The following is a 25680-nucleotide window of genomic DNA, read 5'->3' on the forward strand; positions in this document are numbered from 1 at the left end:
AACCACATGAAATAAGCACTTTTTAAAAATAAATGTGAACTCCACCTTTTGTGGCAGGAAGGACTATTCAAGATAACAAATGAAAACAGCAAATTCTCTTGGGAAGGAGAAGGGAAGGTGGCATTCTCTTCAAAAGCAAAATTGGGCCATCTCACTAAATAGGACATCAGATGTGAGCAGTCAATCTGGTCTGCATTGAACAACATCATTGCCTGGGTTGCAGTCTTCTAATAGCCTTTGTCTTTTTAGGTTTTGGGTCTGTGTTTGCAGCTGAGGTGAAAATGAGGGTGGGAGAAATTAAATGGCTATTTCTCTTACTTGGCATCTACCTTGCCATGCCCCTGGACCTGCCTTTCCTCCCTCTTCTCTTTGTCACTTTGATGCCTTCCTTTCTTCCTTTTTTCTTTCTTCCTCTCGTGCTCCCTCCCTCCTTCTCTACCTTCCCACCCGATGGTAATCAGGTTCCTTGAGCAGTGGCAGACTTTTCTAGAGTGTCCTGACTACTATTTCTTCCACTGTTTTTCCTCTTTCCTCTCTTCTCATTCCCCTCCCTAAATGCCACTTCTCCTCTTTCTCTAAAGACCTTGCTTCATTAGCTTCCCTCACTTCCCTGCTACAGGAGCTAGAGCCTTTTATCAAGCTATAAACAAAGAACTGTGGTGGTGATGCTCTGTGTGCCAAATACTCTGAGCAGAAGATGAGTTGACAAGGGCAACATATGTGGCTTCTGAACAAGAAGCAATCCTGGCTTTAAGGCCTGAGGCACCCTGTCATGAAGATGGCTGTGAAATCTTTAAAGCCAAGAACCTTAGAATAAGAGGAATCTTGGATACTGACTGTCAAACTGTCACATTTAAGAGATGAGAACACTGAGACACAGAGAGGTGAAATGGCAGGTGAAGGCAACTCATGAATGAATCAGGTTCTCCTGACTCCCAAAACAGTGCTCTTTGAACATCAAACTGCCAAGTTTAGTTGTATTGTAAAGGTTCAAGGACAGGGGAAATACGGCATAGATAGGAATGTACTTTTTTTTTTTTTTTTTTTTTTGAGATGGAGTTTTGCTCTTGTTGTCCAGGCTGGAGTGCAGTGGCACAATCTCAGCTCACTGAAACCTCTGCTGCCCGGGTTCAAGCAATTCTCTTGCCTCAGCCTCCCAAGTAGCTGGGATTACAGGCACTCATCACCACACCCAGCTAGTTTTTGTATTTTTAGTAGAGACGGGGTTTCACCCTGTTGGCCAGGTATGGTCTCAAACTCTTTACCTCAAGTGATCTGCCTGCCTTGGCCTTCCAAAGAGCTGGCATTGTAGGCGTAAGACACTGTGCCCTGCCGGAATGTACTTTAAAGGCACAGGGGGATATATGGCATCCTCGACTGTAGGGCATGGTGCATTTGTCTGTGGACCTGCCATTTGTTGCAATTTATTATCAATAGTAGCTTTCAGATATCCTTTGTTATTAAGTTAAACCAAATGCAATTCCATCCATGGAGCAATTTTACCTTTAAGAAGTATCTTGTGGGTTGTTTTGACGTTCACATTCACACCATCGTCTACCAGGAAACAGCATTTGTTTTCGTTTCCTAAGAAACTGTCTTTACTGAAGTCTCCTCTGTGATTATCTTAAGATCCCTTCCTACGTTTCGTATCTATTTCTATGGCTCCTTTTTTGCCTCTTAACCCCCTTGTCAACTGTTTTGTTGTGTTTTTGTTTTTTTTTTTGGTCTGGGTTTTCTTTTCTTTCTTTCTTTCTTTGTTTTTTTTTTAGTACAAATAGGTATTTCAGTCTTCTGACTAAATTTTAGCTTTTAAAACTGTGCATAGTTGATTCTAGCTTTCTCTGCCCCTTTGAGGGGTTCTGGGAGGAGGAGATGCAGTGCTCCAAAGAACGCTGCATTGTGTAACCGCACCATGAAATCTGGCACAGCAGCCCATAGCCTGCCCCAAGAACAACCCCTTAGGAATGTGGACAGGCAGAACCAAGACAGATGGAGCAGATGCTGGAACTAGGAGTTAAGATTAAAGGCATTTTTGTAGCATAGAAAAATAGAAAAATGTTGAAACACAAAACATATACACAGATCATTTTTTCCAAACCCAATACCAGAACATGTGGTCTAATCCACTCATATCTGATAACAGGAAGAAGTATTTGAAATTAGGACTTTCCCAGAGAATTCTGTTTGGGAGGTCATTGTACATGTAGGTTACAGAGAAAGGGGAAGCAAAATGTCAGGTAGTGAAAACTGTGTGCGTGTCATGTGGTACTTCTAAAACATTAATGTGTTCACAAATCTCTGGAAATGGTGTTAAAAGGCAGGTTTTTACTTCAGAGGCCTGGGTTAGTGCCTGAGATTGTACATTTCTAACAAGCCCCCTGGTGATGATGCTGGTGATGCTGGTGATGTTGGTGATGCTGGTCTGAGAACCACTCTTGGAAACCAAGGCCTTTGGGCTTATGCTGTACTCAACTTTGTACCCCTAACATCAATCAGGGAATACAGCTAACAACAATTTGGTAAACTAAGTTCCAGACACTTTACATGCATGCAAAGTTATTTAATTTTTCAGTAATATTATACATAGGTGTTATTATTCTGGTTTTCAAATGGGTAGATGCAAGTTCAAGCATTTAGTCATCAAAATCTGTGTGAGTGATTCTAAAGATAGCTGGACTTCCCTGGAATCCTAGATTCAAAACTTGTCAATGCAAGGAGTTTCATTCTTTCCAACCTACTTCCTAAAGTGGCATAGGACAGTATTTTGCTTAAGAATATGGAAACTGGGCTGGGCGCAGTGGCTCACGCCTGTAATCCCAGCACTTTGGGAGGCTGAGGCAGGTAGATCACGAGGTCAGGAGATCAAGACCATCCTGGCTAACACGGTGAAACCCTTCCCTACTGAAAATACAAAAAATTAGCCGGGAGCGGTGGCAGGCGCCTGTGGTCCCAGCTACTCGGGAGGCTGAGGCAGGAGAATGGCGTGAACCCGGGAGGCGGAGCTTGCAGTGAGCCGAGTTGGCACCACTGCACTCCAACCTGGGAGACAGAGCAAGACTCCATCTCAAAAAAAAAAAAAAAAGAATATGGAACCTGGAGCCAGTGAGCATGGGTCTGGATGCTTATTCCAACCCTCCCTAGTTGTGCAACTTGACCAAGTTCATGATCCACAATGAGGCTCACTTTACAATGTGATATGGGAATAATAGCAATTTTCTCTTCATAGGATGGTTATGAAAATTAAATGACTTACCATTAGTAAAGCACCTAAAGGAGTGCCCATAACAGATCATGGAGTACATGGTAGGCATAGGAAAAAGCTATTGCAGAAAGACTGACATTTACAATGCTTTAAAGATCATACTTGGCCGGGTGCCGTGGCTCACGCCTGTAATCCCAGCACTTTGGGAGGCCAAGGCGGGTGGATCTCGAGGTCAGGAGATCGAGACCATCCTGGCTAACACGGTGAAACACCGTCTCTACCGAAAATACAAAAAATTAGCTGGGCACGGTGGCGGGCGCCTGTGGTCCCAGCTACTCGGGAGGCTGAGGCAGGAGAATGGCGTGAACCCGGGAGGCGGAGCTTGCAGTGAGCCGAGATGGCACCACTGCACTCCAGCCTGGCCGACAGAGCCAGACTCCATCTCAAAAAAAAAAAAAAAAAAAAAAGAAAAAAAAATCATACTTTTTCTCTGAAATGTGTCTTGGAAGTTGTTGTAGCTTGCATTTATTGAGTGAATGTGTTCTCTAAGAAAACTGCATCTCTCTATTCTGGGAATACATTTATTTTACTTTATGAAAAATAAAATAAGCTAGCTTTTTTTCAATAGATATTTATAAATGTGCTCAGAACATGGATACAGAGGTATTGTCAAAGGTGAGATTAAAATTCTTATGGAACCCCTTTTTGAGAACATGGTCCATACTCCTTAAGGATCCCTATAATGCTTTTTTACCTTTCTTTTTTTAGAACGAGTGGAACATACTGTTATCTCTTCTAAGTCTTTTGCCTCTGGCAAGAGACACATTGTATATTTCCACCCACTGGCTTTTAATGATGTGCAGAGAACGATGATTCACACCAATCAACATTTTCATATTATTGAAATATCTCCCTTAGTCCCCAACACAATTTTCAAAACATGTGATTGTATGAGAACAAAGGCATCAAACTGTCTTTGCTGAATCATTTTCTGTCTCTCTCTCAGCCCAAATTCCCTCTGATTTGTAACTTACCAGCCAGGCCAGCAAGAAGACAAATGATATTCCTAGTTAATTAATCAAACTCAATCCATTGTCATTTAGTAATATCCACCACTGGTTACAAAGTAGCCACATTTGGGCCTATTTAGTTGGCCTTTCAATTGTAATTTAGCTGTGTGCAAAGGGTGACATTAAATCTCTTTTACCCCAAGACTTTCACTTAATCTAACGAAGCTTGGCCTCATTTGGATACTATTATGTCATTCTCAAGGCACTGTGAGTACATATGATAAGGAGCTGGATGATCCAAAATCACACCGGCCAGACCAGTGGGCCCTGATTCTCTGATGTACGGGCTTTGAAAATGGAAACAAGTCAGAAGAAAAGTTTCCAAAGGAGCACAGCGCACTCAGCGTCCTTAATTTAGCCATCCAGGACCAGGGAGAAATTGTCTTTCTGCCTCCTGCTGCTGATCAGCTTGTGCCCCGGGCTTAAGGGCTTTTAAATATTTTCTTTTTTTTTTTTTTCCTATTTTTTTTATTATACTTTAAGTTTTAGGGTACATGTGCACATTGTGCAGGTTAGTTACATATATATATATGTGCCATGCTGGTGCGCTGCACCCACTAACTCGTCATCTAGCATTAGGTATATCTCCTAATGCTATCCCTCCCCCCTCCCCCCACCCCACCACAGTCCCCAGAGTGTGATATTCCCCTTCCTGTGTCCATGTGATCTCATTGTTCAATTCCCACCTATGAGTGAGAATATGCGGTGTTTGGTTTTTTGTTCTTGCGATAGTTTACTGAGAATGATGATTTCCAATTTCATCCATGTCCCTACAAAGGACACGAACTCATCATTTTTTATGGCTGCATAGTATTCCATGGTGTATATGTGCCACATTTTCTTAATCCAGTCTATCATTGTTGGACATTTGGGTTGGTTCCAAGTCTTTGCTATTGTGAATAATGCCGCAATAAACATACGTATGTTTACACTGTTGGTGGGACTGTAAACTAGTTCAACCACTGTGGAAGTCAGTGTGGCGATTCCTCAGGGATCTAGAACTAGAAATACCATTTGACCCAGCCATCCCATTACTGGGCATATACCCAAATGACTATAAATCATGCTGCTATAAAGACAGGGCTTTTAAATATTTTAACATTCGACTTTTGGCGGCCAGCCCTGCAGAGTTTTAATAGAAAGTTAAAGTTAACCATTAATTAGCATAGACACACAGGCCTGAAAAGAATTTGGACTAGCCTGAAAGAAAAGCAGCTGGAAGCAAGCAAAATACGTGAAAACGAGAATCTGGTGTGACCACCACATTTTCATTTCATGGGTCTTTGATTCTTTCTTTGTGATAGAGTTTTGGCAAGCCTAGGAAGGATGAGCTTGCGTTCTCACTTTCCCCTTCCTTCCCTCCTGTTTTCTTTCCTTCCTCCCTCCTTTTCTTTCTCTGTCTCCTTCCTTTTTCTTTCTAAATGATAATAAAAGTGTTTTGTTTTGTTTTTTAATTTTCTTAGTGAGATGTTTAGGCTACTAAACATACCAAACTAAGAGTTGAACAGAATTGGATTTTCCATCAACATTCTGCATAATCCTAAGCAAATCACTTTTGGGGCCAAGATATTTTAAATCTGAAAATGAGGCAGTTGGATTAGTCCCTGAGGCCTATTCTAACTCTGAAAGATTATTTATTCAGAGCAAGCTGGGCACAAGGACAAAATGTGATATATTAATACTCTATAGGAACCATAATAAATAGGCCATGAAAATCCACCAAAGGAAAAGTAAGTTCTGTTGTCCATGCTTACATGTTGCCATAGACAAGATGAATGAGGAGTAGAGCCAAATTGGTTAAAGGCTTAGACACATGGCCTAACAGAGTTTGGGAACTCAGCCTAACAGCCATGGCTTTGCCTCGTTAGATCCAAAGTTAATATTAGCTCTATGAATTGTCATTCATTCATTCATCATTCACCAAAATTGATCAGTCTCATTATGTGTGGGACTCTCTGATCTGTGCCAGAGACACAGAGGTAAATAAAACATTATTATTAATGCATTTGGTAGTATTTCTCAAAGAAATTTGGGTCAGAGTTGTTCTGAAAATGATCCTGACTCTTCTCTTTTAGTCTGTATAACTTTTACACTGTGAGAATAATGCGATGTAGAACATGTGACAACATTTTGTGCCCAAAATGTTTAGAACCAGAAAGACGTGCTAGAACAGGGAAGACTGAATTTTTTTTCCCTTTTTTGTACCTTGCCAACACTTAGCAAAGGCAATCATGCAATTACTAAAAATTTATTAACACTGTGTGCCAGCTACTGTGCTGTGTATTCTTTGATTAATTTCTATTTTTTAATTGTTAATAAACTACATTGAGGTATAATAATTTACATATAATAATTGTTCATATTTTAAGTATGAGGTTTGATGAGATTTGAGATATGTGTACACCATGTAGCCACCAACTCAATCAGCACAGGGACTGTTTATATTACCCAGAGAGTCCCCCCTTTATCCTTGGCAAATTAATTACTACTTCCTCACCCTATCCCCTGCCCCAAGCACTATTAATCTAATTTCTATCACTATAGACGACTTTCATCTGTCCTAGTACTTCCGACATAGTTTGGATGTTTGTCTCCTCCAAACCTCATATTGAATTGTGATCCCCAAATTTGGAGGTGGGGCTGAGCTCATGGGAGGTGTTTGGGTCGTGGGGTCAGATTCCTCATGAATGGCTTGGAGCCCTTCACATGGTAGTGAGTTCTCGCTCTATTAGATCACACAGGAGCTGATCTTTTAAAAGAGTCTGGCACCTCCTCCCCTCTCTCTTGCTCCCTCTCTCACCATGTGATATGCCGGCTCCCATTTTGCCTTCCTACATGATTGAAAGCTTCCTGATGCCCTAACCAGAAGCAGACGCTGGTGCCATGCTTCTTGTACAGGCTGCAGAGCCATGAACCAAATAAAACTATTTTCTTTATAAACTATCCAGCCTTAGGTATTACTTTATAGTCACGCAAAATGGACTAACACAAATTCTTAAAAATGAAATCATACAGTATGTACACTTCACTGTTTGGCTTCTTTAGTTCAACATGTCTGTAAAATGCATCCATGTTTTTCCATGTATCAGCAATTTGATTTTTTATTGCTGAGAAGTATTCTATTATATGAATATATCACAATTTGTCTATTTGTTCATCTGTTGATGAACATTTGGGTTGGTTTCAATTTAGGACTATAATAAATAAACTTACAATTAACATGCATGTATAAGTCTTCTTGTGGATATATTTTCATTTCTCTCAGATAAATACCTCAAAGTGGAAATGCCAGGTCATAGGAGAGCATATGTGAACTTTGTAAGAAATAGATTACAGTTCTCCAAAAGTAGTTTTATTATTATACTGCCACCAGCAATATGATTTCCAGATGTTTCACCTCTTTACCATTTGATATTTGTTGTTCATATTTTAAAATTTGTGTGTGATGTCCTTATTGTAGTTTTAATGTGCACTTTTTCCAATAACTTATGATGCTGAGCATTTTTTTTTTTTTTTTGAGAAACAGTTTGAATCTGTCACCCAGGCTGGAGTGCAGTGGCGCAATCTCAGCTCACTGCAACCTCCACCTCCCGGGTTCAAGCGATTCTCATGCCTCAGCGCCCCGAGTAGCTGGGATTACAGGCATGCACCACCATGCGCAGCTAATTTTTGTACTTTTAGTAGAGATGGGGTTTTGCCATATTGGCCAGGCTAGTCTCAACCTCCTAACCTCATATGATCTGCCCACCTTGGCCTCCCAAAGTTCTGAGATTATAGGCATGAGCCACCACGCCCGGCATTGAGCATCTTTTTGTACACTTTGTTAATCATTCATATATTTTGTGAAGAATTTATTCACAAAACAGACCCTTGAATTGTAAGAGTTCTCAATATATTCTGGATACAGGTATTTGTGAGATACCTGCATTGAAAATATTTTCTTCTAATTTGTGTCTTGCTTTTTCATTTTTAATGGTCTTTTGATGATCAATTTTACCAAGACAAAGTCCAATTTATCATTTTTCTTCTGTTCAGTGCATGTATTGCCTGTTTATATCTACCTCTACTAAGATTCCAGAGATTTTCTTGTGTTTTCTTTTAGAAGCTTTGTTTTAGAAGTTTTATAATTTTAGCTTTTACTTCTAGGTCTATGATTCATCTTGAATTAATTGTTGGGTATGGAATAGAAGTTGCAGCTCTTGTTTTCCCTGGTGAATATTTAGCGTTGCTTCACTGTTGGAGAGATTTTTTCTTTTCCTATTGAATTGCTTTGACAATTTTGTCCAAATCAATTTCTCATATATTTCTGGCCTCTTGATTTTGTTCCATTGATCTAATTGCAAAACTTTATGTAAGTACCACACTGTCTTGACTACTGAAGCTTTATAGTAAGCCTTACAATCATGTAGTATAAGTTCTCCAACTCTTATTTTTTTTTTTTTTTTCAAAATTGTGGCTATGGTAGGGCTTTTGCATTTCCACATTCTAGTAAAATTGGCTGAGATACTAATTGGGATTGTGCAACATGTGTAGATCAATTTAGAGAAAAAGGATATCTTAGCATTACTGAGTGCTCAAATATGTGAAATTGGTATAGCTCTCTTGTTGATACAACGTTTACTAAATGAGCAGATATCCTTACCCTTTTCCTAAGATTAGTAAGAAAGTGTTTAATATAGCATGATTAAATACGATATTAGGTGTAGATATCTCACAGATAACTTCTTAAGATTGAGAAAGTTCTCTTATTTTGCTGAAATTTTTATAACAACTAGATGATTCATCAATTTCACTGGAGGTTGATCAATTTTATTGTTCTTTTCAAAGAACCAACAGTTGTTTTGGTTGATTTTTCTCCATTTTTGGGTCTTTTCTCTATTTTATTAATTATTGCTCTTATATTTATTATTTCCTTCTTTCTGTGTACTTCGGGTTTAATTTACTCTTCTTTGTCTAGCTTCCTGAGGTAGAAATTTAAATTATTGTTGTTAAAAAGTTCTTGTTGTCTAGTATAGGCAATTAAAACTATAAATATTCATCTAACTACCCCTTTAGCAACATCCCACACATTTTGAATATTGTGCATTTATTTTATTTTAATTACAAATATCTTAAAATTTCCATCGTGATTTCTACTTTCAGTTATGAGTTATTTGTATATATTTGGAGTGTTTCTTGGTTACTTTACTTTTTGTTTTTAATATAATTTTACTACAGATAATATTTCACCTTTTTATATAGACTAATTTTATGATCCATAAAGACTATGAAGACGCTATATGCACTTAGAAATGTACTTATTCTGAAGTTGTGAGCATAGTGTGCTAGAAATGTTAATTAAATCAAGTCTTCTAAGTGTACATTCATGACTTCTATATCCTTACCTATTTTATAAATATTTACTAAAAGAGGATGGTTAAAATCTTCAGTCATGAATGTGGGTTTGCCTATGTCTTCCTTTATTTCTGTCAGTTTTTCATTATGTATTTTAATCATCTTTATAGGCATATCCACTTAGGATTGTTGTATTTTTCCTTCTATCATTATGTATGTTGTGGTAATGGCGCTTTTCTTGAAGCCTACTTTGTCTGATAGTAATATAGCCATATCTGCCTACTTTCAAATGCTTATTATATGCACAGTCTATCTCTTTTCATCCTAGTACTTTTAACTCCTCTGTGTCATTATATTTAAGGAGCATCTTGGGTAGCTACATATATATGGGTCTTATTTTTTATCCAATATGACAATCTCTTCCTTTACATTAAAATGTGTAGCCTATATATATTTTATATAATTATTGATAGGGTTGAATTTAAATTTATCCTATTGTTATTTGTTTTTAATTTGTTCCATCTGTTTTTTATTTTATTATTGTTCTGTTATATATTGTTTAAATATATAGTTTTTGTTTTATTTTCTGTTTCACTGTTACCCTTTTCCTTTATTTAGGTCAATCAATTTTTAAATTATTCTATTTGTTTCTTTTATTAGATTTTAAACTCATGTATTTTGGGGGGTGGGGGGATGGTCAACTTAGGGACTATAATATGCATCCTTCACTTAACAAAATATGCTTGCAATTAATAATTTTCTACTCAAAATTCACTCTTTACACTTCATAGTACTCACCACTCCTCAATAACAGTCATATAATAATACAATCCCATTTACTCCTTTCTTCCTGCAAATGTGGTACTATATTTTACTTTACTTCCTACAATGACATAACTTTTTTGTTTTGGACAGGCATTTTTCTTTTAAGGGAATTAATAGGAGACTTTAAGGCTAGTCTTTCATGCTAACTCATTTATTTACTGCTTCTTGTGTTCTTCATTATTTCCTCTATATGTGGTTTTACATATAGCATCTGATACAGTTTGGAACTGTATCCTCCCCTAAATCTCATGTTCAATTGTAATCGCCAACGTTGGAGGTGGGGCCTGGTGGGAGGTGATTGGATAATGAGGGCAGATTTCTCGTGAATGGTTTAGCACCATCCCGTTGGTGCTGCTCTCATGATAGTGGGTGCGTTCTTATGAGATCTGGTCTTTTAAAAGTCCGTAGCACCCCCCACCTTGCTCTCTTGCTACTGTTCCTGCCATGTAAGACTTGCCTGCTCTCACTTTGCCTTCCACCATGATTGGAAACTTCCCGAGGCCTCCCCAGAAGCTGAAGCCACTATGCTTCCTATGCAGCCCGCAGAGCCATGAGCCAATTAAACTTCTCTTCTTTATAAAATACCCATTCTCAGGTATTTCTTTATAGCACTGCGAGAACCAACTAAAACAGCATCATATTTTACAGTCTGAAAATATTCTTAACTATTTTGTGTAGTGCAAGTGTGTTTGCGACAAATTCTCTCAGCTTTTGTTTATCTAAAAATCAAGTATTTTACCTTGTACATGTATATTTCTCTTTGATATAGAATTCTGGATTGACATTTCTTTCTCTCAGTATTTTAAGGTTTTCATTTTATTTTCTTCTTTCATGTATTTCTGATGAAGAGTTGGCCTTAAGAACTACTTCATCAAGACTTTTTTTCTGTACCATTCTCTTTATCCTGTCTTCTGAAACTCCAGTTACACATATATGAAACTAATTGATATTCTCCCACAAGTCTCTGAAACCTGAACTTTTTTTTTCTTTTTGAGACAGCGTATCGCTGTGTTACCCAGGCTGTAGTGCAGCGGCATGATCTCAGCTCACTGCGACCTCTGCCTCCAGGGCTCAAGCAATTCTCGTGCCTCAGTCTCCTGAGTAGCAAGGATTACAGGCATATGCCACCATACTCGACTAATTTTTGTATTTTTAGTAGAGACAGGGTTTCTCCATGTTGGCCAGGCTGGTCTGGAACTCCTGGCTTCAAGTAACCCACCCACCTTGGCCTCCCAAAGTGCTGGGATTACAGGCATAAGCCACCGCACCGGGCCATGGCCTGCACATTATTATTTCAATTCTTTTTTTTAATGTCTGTTCTTCATCTTGAAAAATGTCTATAGATCTGTTTTTAAGTTAATTCAACTTTTGTTCTGCCTCTTCAATTTTCTATTAAGCTTATCCATTGAATTTTTTATGTCATATATTAAAAGTTACAGCTCCAGAATTTGTATTTGGTTCTTTTATTAGTTTCCATTTCCATATGGAGTTTCCAAATTTGTTCTTCCTAAAACCATATTTTCTAATTTTTATTTTTATTTCAATAGTTTTGGAGGAAAGGGTGGTGTTTGGTGGCATGGAAAAGTTCCTTAGTGGTGATTCCTGAGATTTTGGTGCACCCATCAGCCCAGCGGTGTACACTGTACCCAATGTGTAGTCTTTTATCCTTCACTCCCCTCCCACCCCTCCCAAATCCATTGTATCATTCTTATGCCATTATGAAGCTTAGCTCCCACTTATAAGTGAGAACATATGATGTTTTGTTTTCCATTCCTGAGTTACTGCACTTAGAATAATAGTTTACAACTCCCTCCGTGTTGTTGTGAATGCCATTATTTCATTCGTTTTTATGGCTGATTAGTATTCCACAGTATATATATATATATACACCACATTTTCTTTATCCACTCATTGGATAATGGACATTTAGACTGGTTCCATATTTTTACAATTGCAAGTTGTGCTGCTATAAACATGCATATGCAAGTGTCTTTTTTCGTATAATGACTTCTTTTCCTCTGGGTAGATAGATACCAAGGAGTGGGAATCCTGGATCAAATGGTAGATCTACTTTTAGTTCTTTAAAGAATCGCTCTATTGTTTTCCATAGTGGTTGTACTAGTTTACATTCCAACCAGCAGTGTAAAAAGTGTTCCCTTTTCACCGCACTCACTCCAACATCTGTTATCTTTTTATTTTCAAATCAAATGGTGGCTATTCTTCAGGAGTAATGTGGCATCTCATTGTGGTTTTGATTTGCATTTCCCTGATAATTAGTGATGCTGAGCTTTTTTTTCATATGTTTCTTGGCCATTTGTTTAAATTTTTTTTTAATTTTAATAGGTTTTAGGGAAAGCAGATGGTATTTGGTTACATGGATAAGTTCTTTAGTGGTGATTTCTGAGATTTTGGTGCACTCACCACCGGAGCAGTGTACATTGTACCCAATGTGTAATCTTTTATCCCTCACCCCCTCCCACTCATTCCCCACAATCCCCAAAGTCCATAGTATCCTTATGCCTTTGTGTCCTCATAGCTTAGCTCCCACTTATGAGTGAGAACATATGATGTTTGGTTTTCCACTCCTGAGTTATTTCACTTAGAATAATGGTCCCTAATTCCATCCAGATTGCTGCAAATGCCATTATTTCATTCCTTTTAATGGCTAAGTAGTATTCCATTTATATATATATATAATGTGATATATATGATACATATATATATCACATTTTATATATCTATGCATGTGCCAGTGTCTTTTTTTTTTTTTTTTTTTTTGCATAACCACTACTTTTCCTCTGGGTAAAATACCAAGGAGTGGGATTGCTGGATCAAATGGTAGATCTACTTTTAGTTCTTTAAGAAACCTCCACACTGTTTTCCATAGTGGTTGCACTAGTTTACATTCCCACCAACAGTGTAAAAATGCTCCCTTTTCACCACAACCATGCCAACATCTATTTTCTTTTGATTTTTTGAATATGGCCATTCTTGCAGGAGTAAGGTGGTATTGAATTGAGGTTTTGATTTGCATTTCCCGGATAATTAGTGATGTTGAGCATTTTTTATATGTTCGTTGGCCATTTGTATATATTCTTTGGAGAACTGTCTGTTCATATCCTTAACATACTTTTTGATGAGATTGTTTGCTTTTTTCTTGTTGATTTGTTTGAATTTCTTGTAGATTCTCAATATTAATCCTTTGTCAGAAATATAGATTGCAAAGATTTTTCCCACTCTATGGGTTGTCTGTTAACTCTGCTGATTATTTCTTTTGCTGTGCAGAAGCTTTTTAGTTTAATTGGATATCATCTATTTATTTTTGTTTTTGTTGCATTTGCTTTTGGGTTCTTGGTCATGAAGTCTTTGCCTAAGGCAATGTCTAGAAGGGTTTTTCCAATGTTATCTTCTAGAATTTTTATGGTTACAGGTCTTAGATTTAAGTCTTTGATTTCTCTTGAGTTGATTTTTGTATAAGGTGAGAGATGAGGACCCAGTTTTATTCTTCTACATGTGGCTTGTCAATTATCCCAGCACCACTTGTTGAATAGGATATCCTTTTCCCACTTTATGTTTTTGTTCACTTTGTCAAAGATCAGTTGACTATAAGTATTTGGATTTATTTCTGGATTATCTATTTGTTCTCATTGATCTATATTCCTATTTTTAAACCAGTACCATGCTGTTTTGGTGACTATGGCCTTATAGTATATTTAGAAATCAGGTAATGTGATGCCTCCAGATTTGTTCTTTTTGCTGAGTCTTTCTTTGGCTATGAGGGCCCTTTTTTTGGGTCCACATGCATTTTAGGGTTGTTTTTTCTAGTTCTGTGAAGAATGATGGTGTTATTTTGATGGAAATTGCATTGAATTTGTAGATTGCTTTTGTCAGTATGGTCATTTTCACAATATTGAGTCTACCCAGCCATGAGCATAGGATGTGTTTCCATTTGTTTGTGTCATCTATGATTTCTAACAGCAGTGTTTTGTAGTTTTTCTTGTAGAGGTCTTTCACCTCCTTGGTTAAGTATATTCCTAAGTATTTTATGTTTTTTGTAGCTATTGTAAAAGAGGTTGAGTTCTTGATTTGATTCCCAGCTTAGTCACTGTTGGTGTATAACAGAGCTACTGATTTGTGTACGTTAATTTTGTACCCTGAAACTTTACTGAACTCACTTACCAGTTCTAGGAGCTTTTCGGATGAGTCTTTAGGGTTTTCTATGTATACAGTTATGTCATTGGCAAACAGCAACAGTTTGACTTCCTCTTTACCAATTTGGATGCCCTTGATTTCTTTCTCTTGTCTGATTGCACTGGCTAGGACTTCCAGTACTATGTTGAATAGAAGTGGTGAAAGTGGACATCCTTGTCTTGTTCCTGTTCTCAGGGGAAATGCTTTCAACTTTTCTCCATTAAGTATAATGTTGGCTGTGGGTTTGTCATAGATGGCTTTTATTACCTTAAGCTATGTCCCTTCTGTGCCAATTTTGCTGAGGGTTTTAATCATAAAGCCATGCTGAATGTTGTCAAATGGTTTTTCTCCATCTATTGAGATGATCATGTGATTTTTGTTTTTAATTCTGTTTATATGGTGTATCACATTTATTGACTTGAGGATAATAAACTATCCCTGCATCCCTGATATGAAATCCACTTGATCATGGTGGATTATCTTTTTGATATACTGTTGGATTTGGTTAGCTGGTATTTTGCGGAAGACTTTTGCATCTATGTTCATCAGGGATATTGGTCTGTAGTTTTCTTTTTTTATTATGTCCTTCCCTGGTTTTGGTTATTAGGGAGATACTGGCTTCATAGAATGATTTAAGGAGAATTCCCTCTTTCTCTATCACTTGGAATACTGCCAATAGGATTGGTAACAATTCTTCTTTGAATGTCTGATAGAATTCAGTGGTGAATCTGTCTGGTTCTGGACGTTTTTTGTTGGTAACTTTTTAATTGCCATTTCAGTCTTGCTGCTTTTTATTGGTCTGTTCAGAGTTTCTATTTCTTCTTGCTTAACCTAGGAGGGCTGTATATTTTTAGGAATTTTTCCATTTCCTCTGGGTTTTCTAGTTTATACACATAAAAGTGTTCATAGTAACCTTGAATGATCTTTTGTATTTCTGTGACATCAGTCTAATATATCCCATTTTGTTTCTAATTGAGCTTACTTGGATCTTCTCTCTTCTTTTCTTGTTTTATCCTGCTAGTGGTCGATCAACTGTATTTATCTTTTCAAAAGGAAGCAGATTTTGGTTTCATTTATCTTTTGTATTTTTTTGTTTGTTTGTTTCAATTTCATTTAGTCCTGCTCCAATCTTCGTTACGTCTTTTCTTCTGCTGGGTTTGGGTTTGGTTTGTTCTTGTTTCTCTAGTTCCGTGAGGTATGGCCTTAGATTGTCTACTTGTGCTCTTAAAGACTTTTTGATGTAGACATTTAATGCTATGAACTCTCTTCTTAGCACCGCTTTTGCTGTATCCCAGAGCTTTTAATAGTTTGTGTCACTATTATCATTCAGTTCAAAGAATGTTTAAATTCCCATCTTGATTTCATTCTTGTCCCAGTGATCATTCAAGAGCAGATTATTTAATTTCCATGTATTTGTGGGGTTTTGAGGGTTCCTTTTGGAGTTGATTTTTAATTTTATTCCACTGTTGTCTGAGAGAGTACTTGATATAATTTTGAATTTTTTTAATGTACTGAGATGTATTTTGTGGCCTATCATATGGACCACCTTAGATAATGTTCTATGTGCTGATGAATAGAATGTTTATTCTGCAGTTGTTGGGTAGAATGTTCTGTAGATATCTGTTATTCCGTTTGTTCTAGGGTACAGTTTAAGTCCATTGTTTCTTTGTTGGCTTTCTGTCTTGATGACCTGTCCAGTGCTATCAGTGGAGTATTAAGTCCCCCATTATTAATGTGTGGCTGTCTGTCTCATTTCTTTGGTCTAGTAGTAATTGTTTCATATATTAAAAAGTTTTATTTTAAGTCATTGAGCATACTTAGAATACCTGCTACAAGGTTCTTGTCTCCTTATTCTAACAACTTTGTCATGCTGGGGCCTACTTTTTAATTGACAGCTTTATTTCTTGATTATAGGACACAATTTCTAATTCTTTTTATCTCTAATAATTTCTCATTGTAGTCTGGATACTACAGATGATATGTTATAAAACATCTGGATTATGGTTTTTTCTTTAAAAGGTTGTGTTTTATTTTGCCAAGAAGTTAATTTACTACTGGCACTATGATCCTGACAAGGCTTAGTTTTACATTTTGTTTATCCGTGAATGTTTATTAAATTAACCTGATTTTCACTTCACCTGATTTTCACTCTACCCACTCATTTCAAACAGAGGAAACTGAGACATTATAAATTTGAATGACTTATCTAATACCACATCTAAAAATCTCAGTGTTCTTTTTATCATGTCTCTATTACATTCTCAATGAGGCTTTTCCAGGCAACTCCATCTAAAACTTCAACACACACACACCATCTAATATGATTTGGCTGTGTCCCCATCCAAATCTTACATTGAATTGTAATAATCCCCACATGCCAAGGGCAGGGCCAGGTGGAGATAATTGAATCATGGGGGCGGTCTCCTCCATACTGTTCTCGTGGTAGTGAATAAGTCTCACGAGATCTGATGGTTTTATAAATGGGAGTTCCCCTGAACAAGCTCTCTTGCCTGCCACCAGGTGAGACATGAGTCTGCTCCTCATTTACCTTCCGCCATGATTGTGAGGACTCCCCAGCCATGTGGAACTGTGAGTCAATTAAACCCCTTTCCTTTATAAACTACCCAGTCTTGGGTATGTTTTTATTAGCAGCCCATGAACAGACTAACATACCATCTCTCTTACATTTCTTATTCCCCTTCTCTTTTAATTTTTTAACATTTATCATTATCTGATATAGTACATGTTTTATGATATATGCTGAAAACATATACTATTGAAACCAAAATGAAAAAAATCTTAAAGTCAGCCAGGAAATACATGACATGTTACATACAGAGCAGAGTATTTGATTTTAGGTCTTCTCATTAGAAATAACGTAAGAGGGAAAACAATAGAATGGCAACTTTAAAACATTGGAAGAAAAAATATCAACCTAAAATTCTATATCCAGGAAAAATATCATTCATATATGAGAGAGAAATACTTAGTTCTCAGACAAACAAAAACTAAGAGAATTTGTCTCAAGTACACCTGCACTACACAAAATAATTAGGAAAATTTTTCAAACTGTAAAAATGACACTACATGAAAAGCCAAATGTGCAGAAAATAATGAAGAACACAAGAAGCAATAAGTAAACAGGCTAATGGAAAAATCTAGCCTTTCTTTTCCTATTAATTTCCTTAAAAGAAAAATGTACCACCAAAATATGAGCTCCATGAAGACAGAGATTTTACTTATTTTCTCCAATATCTTCAGCATCTAAAACAATGTTGGGAAGGTCTTAGACATTTAATAAATATTTATTCATGAGTGAGTGAGTGAACTTATAAAATCAGTTTTGATCTTTGGTTCTTCTTAAGTTTAAAATAACTGGTAACTGGATTTCCTAAATTTTTTGAACACTATTTTCTTTTTTTTTAACTAAAATATCAGGACCACCTTTTATTCAAGATATTATAACAAGCTTTACACCAAAAATAGTAATAAAATGGAAAGACAATGCTAAGAATTTTGAATTTTATAGATAATTTCAAGTGCTTGGAATTACTAAAAGCTTAGAGAGTACAGCCAAATAGTTTTTAAAATCTGAAATGGTGAGATTATTAATATTGGAAGGATTTTGTTGAACACTTTTCAAGAAATACAAATAATCATTCAAGGAGAAAAAGATTCAGTGAAGAAAAAGTTTAGGAAATACTATGTCCTAATCACCATTTCTTGGAGATTAATAATACAAATAAGCATATAACAGTTTTGAAAACCTTACAGTAAAAAAACCTTTTACTGCAGAGGAGTATGTAAAATTCTTTATCCCTCAGGAATTTATTCTTTAGAAGGAGATAGAAAAAATTAGAAATGACTACACAAAATACAGTAGGATAAAGGGAAAGGAGTTGCACTAAGAGGGTTATATGGAGGATTCAAAAAGGCTCAAATCATTTCTAGTTGGAGTAATTAAGGGAATTCATAGACAAAGTGGTCTTTCAGCTGAGCCTGGAAGTTGGGTAGGATATTAACAGGTGTCATTACAGGAGAGTGTGGAAATTGGCAGAGAGCATATTAGGCAGAGGAATAATATGAGTGATGCTATGAAGTCAGGAACACATGTTAAGTTCAACAGAGTAGGGCACATGGTGAGAAATGAAGCTGGACAGATGACTTGGGGATATATTGTCAAGGCTTTGAACATTAGTATTGATCCCTTGGGAGTACATCCCTTGGAGGCAATAGCAGCCACTGAAGATTTCTGTAAATGGAATTTTTAAGACTGGAACTGTGTGCTATTGATCTTTCTCCAAACAATTCTGTCTCTCTTGTAGATTAATTTACCTCGTTTACCAGTATCTCTTTTTCATATTTCTTGGAAAGTCTTCCACTACATTACCCTGGGGGATAATGATGAGGCACATAAATGCATTCTTAAACTTTAATTTCCCCACATGTACAGTATACATTAATTCTGTTCATCGTGTGTATTTATTTAAAATGTTTGCTCTATATTTTTTTACTTTCCTTTCTATTCCCCCTTTGTCAACTAGTCTCATTCAAATACACACACTAGTTTGTTATTGTTTTTAAACTAAAAATATGTGTCACTGTTTTGCTTGTAAGTTGTCCAAATTTTTAATCGTATTTTTGTTTAGAGAAATTAAATCTAGATCTAACCCATAATTCAAGTCATTGATTAAATGGCACACTTTACTTCTTCCTCTCAGTCAATCAAATACTGACATACTAAGGTGTTTCCATAAGAGAATTTATTTGTCTTTATAGGTTTAATATGTTCATTAAAATTTTGTGCTATGTTGCTTTGGGGGATACATCATTTCAGACAGTTTCGACCTGATATTTAAAACGCATGATTTTAAATAATCAATCATGTCTTTGGTCAGTTGAAAATCACTTTCTGTGCATACCTGTCTCTCTTTCTCTCTCTCATCAATTGTGGACAAACAAATGTAGGCAGTGTAACTTTCAAGATATTGACTGGATTATTTGGGAAAATCTTTCATTAAAATATAACCTTAAGGCCGGGCACAGTGGTTTATGCCTGTAATCCCAGCACTTTGGAAGGCCAAGGCAGGAAGATCACTTGAAGTCAGGAGTTCAAGACCAGCCTGGCCTACTTGGTGAAACCCCATCTCTGCTAAAAATACAAAAAATTTAGCTGGGCATGGAGGTGCATGCCTGTAGTCCTAGTTACTCTGGAGGCTGAGGCGGGAGAATTGCTTGAACACAGGAGGCAGAGGTTGCAGTGAGCCGAGATGGTGCTACTGCACTCCAGCCTGGGCGATAGAGTGAGACCTTGCCTTAAAAAAAATATGTGTATATATATATATATATATATATGCACTTAAAATTGACATTCAGAATGTCTCAAAATATCATTAAAATGTCTTGTAAGATTTTGGTTGTGTTGTTGTTGAATTAGTATCCATTGAAATGCCTAAGTTATGTACAAGAAAAGCTTTAAGAATATTTTTTGCAGAAAATTTGACATTTAGATTCCCAAGATGTAGCAAGTATGTTAGTATTTACTTGAATCACTTATTATATCTAAGTAAACTAGACTAGAAAATTATTTTCATAGAGCTTTTACAATTTAGTAAAAATCAGATATTTATGAAATTATATCATTTGTCTCATTCTCTCAAATCAACTGTTTTTATTTAGTGAACTTAATGTTTACAAATCAATACGTGACAATATATTTATTCAAGTTTTGCATTGTGTATTTAATTTTTGTTATAGTAGCACTAAAAATCTCATTTTGATTCCCATCCATTTTTACAGGGAATTATTGGTTCCTGGAAGTGGCCATAGATATTTTTATTTGGTTTTGGGGTTTTTTGTACTTCAAAGGTAATGTAGAGAAGCCTTTTGCTAATTTGAATGATCATTGTCATCATCATTTTGCAAGAATCCCTGAAAGCAATATTATTCAATTATAATCACTTTGATAAAATCCTCTAACAAAGATCCTTACAAAAACATAAAACATGGCGAACTCACTGAATGACTCTCAGTTCTAATTCAAAAGCATCAAGGGAGAACTTTCTATCCAAGGCTTCTGTTGGTGGGCGTAGGGTTTGCTGAGATTCATGACATCAATAGGCAATCACATGCAATCATCTTTTATCGCAATAGAAACTATTTCACCATTCATGCAAGCAGTGGGGAGACTAAGGACTTAGAGAGAAGTAAATCAAAGCGTCCGGTCTCAATATTGACTACACAATTTTCTCACTAATAATGGGAAGTAAAAAAGTGAGAAGGACAAAATGCACAATTGTATTATTGGGCATACAGTTTGCAAAAAAAATGTGATAAATATCCTTGTATACAAAGTGTTATGCATCTGTCTATTATTACTTTAGAATAAATTATTAGAACAAAGGCTATGAACCTTTTTAAGAATCTTGGTATATATTTTCAAGTTGTCCTCCATAAAAGTTAAGTGAATGCTATTTTACAACATACACATACAAAATTAGGTATTATGATTTTTAAAAATTAATTTAATCGATGAAAATATTATTTAATTATTTTAAATTTGCTTGTATTTTTAGTGATGTTAAACATTATCAAATAAATTAAGGTATAACTGTAAGGTGAGATATGATGTTTCTACTCTAAATTATGGTTTTGAAGGTTTTTTAATGTTCCATGTGGAAGGATCAGACCAGTGTCTAAATGAGATAGATAGAATGTTGACAGCAGAACTTAATATGTGATATTCATATTTTAAAAATAATGTAGGCCTAAGTTAGCTTTATGCTTTATGATTATGTTAGGATATATATTAGCACATGTATGTGGATGTGTATATGTGTCAATATCCATAACGGTAAATGATATAAATATACAGATATGTTTCTTATTCCATGATGTGGGTTTGACCTTCTAAATTTAACATTTCTGATGTTCCTCTACTTGAAATTCCCACTACTCAGGTTTAGTTTTATGTAAATACCAATGTAAAAGTTCTAGTGTCTTAAGTGGGAAAAACAAAGTAAACAGCCATCCTAACGGAATGCTGTTACTATCTTCACATTTAAGCATAGTAGGGACTGTTCTAAACACTAACATACCAATTCATTCCACTCTTTGAGCAACCCTGTAAATTAGGTTTTATTATCCTTCATTTTGAAAATGAGAAAACCGAAGCACAGGGAAGTTAACTATGGGTTTATGAGATAGGCAGGCTAAGATTCACACCCGGGCAATGTTTCTCCTAAGTCTGTGCTGTTCATGTTCACATCCTCCTCTAAGACTTCGTGGAGTCCACATGTGCTACACAGTGCCTGTGGACTCAACCATGCTTGCACAACTCAAAGAAAGAACCAATGTAAAAATTTTCAGCCCTCAAAACCACATTGAGAGAGAGTTACATTTACAAAAGATTTTGCAACTAAGTTGAAATGATAGATTCTTAGAGTGCCTAGAACTGAGGAGCTCCTTAACCAAGTTCCTTAGTCATTTCTCAGGGAAAAACAGGTGTTTCAGTTGTACTACAATGCATAGCAAAACCCCTTAGCCTGCCTACTGCACAAACCCATATGCAGTTGTACTACTACAAACCCACTGTAGTTGTACTACAATGCATGCTTTATGCCCTGCGGTTGTTTCAATATCACAATTAGTTCTAGGACACAAGGAAACTCTGAAGCATCTGTAGATTATATTTATACTGAACATTCATTTGTATTATGTACAGTTCCCAAATGTGCTGCATCTAGTATGACAGTAATGTGAAAAACAAACAAACAAAACAAAAAAACTTCTATATAGCAACCTTATTTTCTTATGAGCGTCAACTCTTCTGGTCACAGAGTTCATATTTCCTCATCTGAATTTTTAAGCTATGTCCTTATCAGACACCAAGCATTCCCTTCATATCCAACTTGTCCAGTGAGTCAAGAAACATGGTTATACAACTTTATCAACTGAAGAGGTAAATCATTATTTGTAGTGAAAATTAACTCAACCACATCTCACATTTACAGCCAATTCTTTTCTGGGATTATAAATGTAGGCTTAGTTATAAACATTAAAAACAAGACCCCCCAAATGCATTGGTGATGACATAATTAAGAGAGAATACTCTTAAAAATAAGATATCTCTGCTGGGTGCAGTGCTTCATGCCTGTAATCCCAGCACTTTGGGAGGCCAAGGCGGGCGGATCACCTGAGGTCAAGAGTTTGAGACCAGCCTGCCCAACATGGTGAAACCCCGTCTCTACTAAAAATACAAAAAATTAGCCAGGCGTGGTGGCAGGCACCTGTAATCCCAGCTACTTGGGAGGCTAAGGCAGGAGAATTGCTTGAACCCGGGAGGCAGAGGTTGCAGTGAGCCAATATCATGCCACTGCACTCCAGCCTGGGTGACAAGAGCAAAACTCCGTCTAAAAAAAAAATCTCAAACTGATGGACACAGGTTAAAAAGATGTGGAAAGAGAGGTAATAGTGAATTATCATGGCTCCTATAATGATATCAGGGTCTTCTTTGACAATGAGTGAGGGACATGTATACATAATTGAGATGGATAGTAATTCAGTTTCACCTGGCAAATGTGAGTAATATGCTAAGGTGAAGAAGCATTGAGAATCTGAAAGATTAGCTCATGTCTATCATAACATGATGGCACATATTGGAAATCAATGACTCATTTGCATTCTAAGAAAGAAGTCAGTAACTTAGGAGGTTTTGAGAAAATATCTCCATGGGTGATTCCAGGGTTATGAAGCAACATTTTCTAGCAGATGAGGATGTACCTGAGTAAATAGTATGTTGGGGTGGAAAAGAACAAAAACATGGGGTACATTGATTATTGCTAGGAAAGTCTTACAATATTTTTACTTTTGGAAAAATGTTGCTCCAGCATCGCTGCAAGACCTGAAAAAGTTGGCACCAGAAGTTTTGGTTTCACATTTATCTTATTTTCTTGAAGAATCTTAATGTATAAAAATGATGTGAACTAGTTTTGAAGGCCTTTCTCAATTCTGATAGCTGTTCCTATTCCTGGGTCCTTGAATTCAGGGTCTATTTAAAGTACGGGAAATTTGAGGGCTAAGCGTGCTTTCCTTTTATTGTCGCTTGATGGGTGGCTTTTGCATGGGTGTGTAAAGAAGTAACCTCAAATCCCAGCTGCTGTCAAGCTTGTGGAAGGTTTAGTGTTTTAAGACCTTCTTCCAAACACAGTATTGATTGACTGTGGATATTTGATATGAGTGTGGTTTTTAGTAGTCCCCTCAAAATTTCTCTCTAAAATTAAGCTTCAGCACCAGCATGATTTGTATAGCAACTTGCATCTGTGTAGGGAACTCAAGGGCCCCTTACATGATAAATGATAAATGTACTTCCATTTTTCTTAAATATTTCCTCTTCTAGGTGAAGTTATGGTTCTAACTTGTAATAAATGGATTCATTGGCTAGATCCAGGTGGAATTTTATTTGCTTTTCTTAGTTCGATTTGAGATGCTTTGACAGATTCCTTGGGAAATGAGTGGATGGGCTCCTGATTGTGTGAATATGTCTCAAAACAGCCGGATCTTTGCCAAGAGGTGTTTTTTATTACCCCCTTTTGTTAACTGGTGGAAACTTTCTGTAGACAAGCCAAAATCAGCACTCACAAAACAGCTTCTGACACCAGGAGCCCTGTAATCAGAATAAGCTAGAAGGATGCATGGAGATCTTAACACCTTTGGCAAAGGTTCTCTCTCAAGGAAATATTGTAAAAGGTATCATTAGACATATGCCTTTCATTTGTAATTGCAGCCATTTCTCAGGAGCTGTTGTAAATCCTAAAGAATTCTGAAGTCTCGCAACCTTAACTAAACGATATAAATTTGAATTTGATTTCTACACTCACGCAAATAGCCCAAATCTTCTAATGCTCCTAATGCAAGTTTATGTGAATGGCTACACTAATTTCTGGACTTCCCTTGAATGGATTTGAAAGTATATTTTCTGGCCAGCATGGTGGCTCACACCTGAATCCCAGCTCTTTGGGAGGCCAAGACTGGTGGATCACTTGATGTCAGGAGTTCAAGACTAGCCTGGCCAACATGGCGAAACCCCGTCTTTCCTAAAAATATATCAATTAGCCAGGTGTGGTGGCACATGTCTATAATCCCAGCTACTTGGGAGGCTGAGGCAGGAGAATCACTTGAACCTGGGAGGCAGAGGTTGCAGTGAACCAAGATCGCACCACTGCACTCCAGCCTGGGCAACAAGAATGAAAACTCCATCTAAAAAAAAAAGAAAAAAAGAGTATATTTTCTGAAGGCTCACTTGAGTTTTATAATCCCAACACCGCCTCATTAACTATAACCTAAGCAGTGGCTGATAGTCTGAATTGATCTGCAAATATTCTGGAAAACGCAATTACAGGATGGGACATTTGGCATGTCAACAAGAGTTTTATGGTCGTGTGTTATGGATGAGCTGTTATTAAGAGACAATCTGTTATTTCTGTGACATATATTCATGCATAACTTGAGCCTTTTCTTGGAGCAATACAAGACAACTATGCTGCTATCAACATTTACCATCCCGTGAAGCAGGTCTTCCATAAACCTTTTTGTTGTTGTGGCTGGAGCTTTATTTTTACCTTTATTTTATTTTATTTTATTTTTTTCAACAGACTTTATCTTTTAGAGTGGTTCACAGAAAAATTGACAAGAAAATACAGAGTTCCCATAAACGCCCTGACCTTCATGAACTTTTAAAAAGGTGACTTTTTAAAAAATTTTTAGGCTGGACGCAGTGGCTCATGCCTATAATCCCAGCGCTTTTGGAGGTCAAGGTGGGCCGATCACCTGACGTCAGGAGTTCTAGACCTGCCTGTCCAACATGGTGAAACCCCATCTCTACTAAAAATACAAAACTCAGCTGGGCGTGGTGGCATGTGCCTGTAGTCCCAGCTACATGGGAGGCTGAGGCAGGAGGATCACTTGAACCTGGGAGGTGGAGGTTGCAGTGAGCCAAGATCACACACTGCACTCCAGCCTGGGTGACAGAACAAGACTCCATCTCAAAATAAATAAATA

This window comes from Homo sapiens, chromosome 2 (genome assembly GCF_000001405.40).
Source record: "Homo sapiens chromosome 2, GRCh38.p14 Primary Assembly".
NCBI classification, from domain to species: domain Eukaryota; kingdom Metazoa; phylum Chordata; class Mammalia; order Primates; family Hominidae; genus Homo; species Homo sapiens.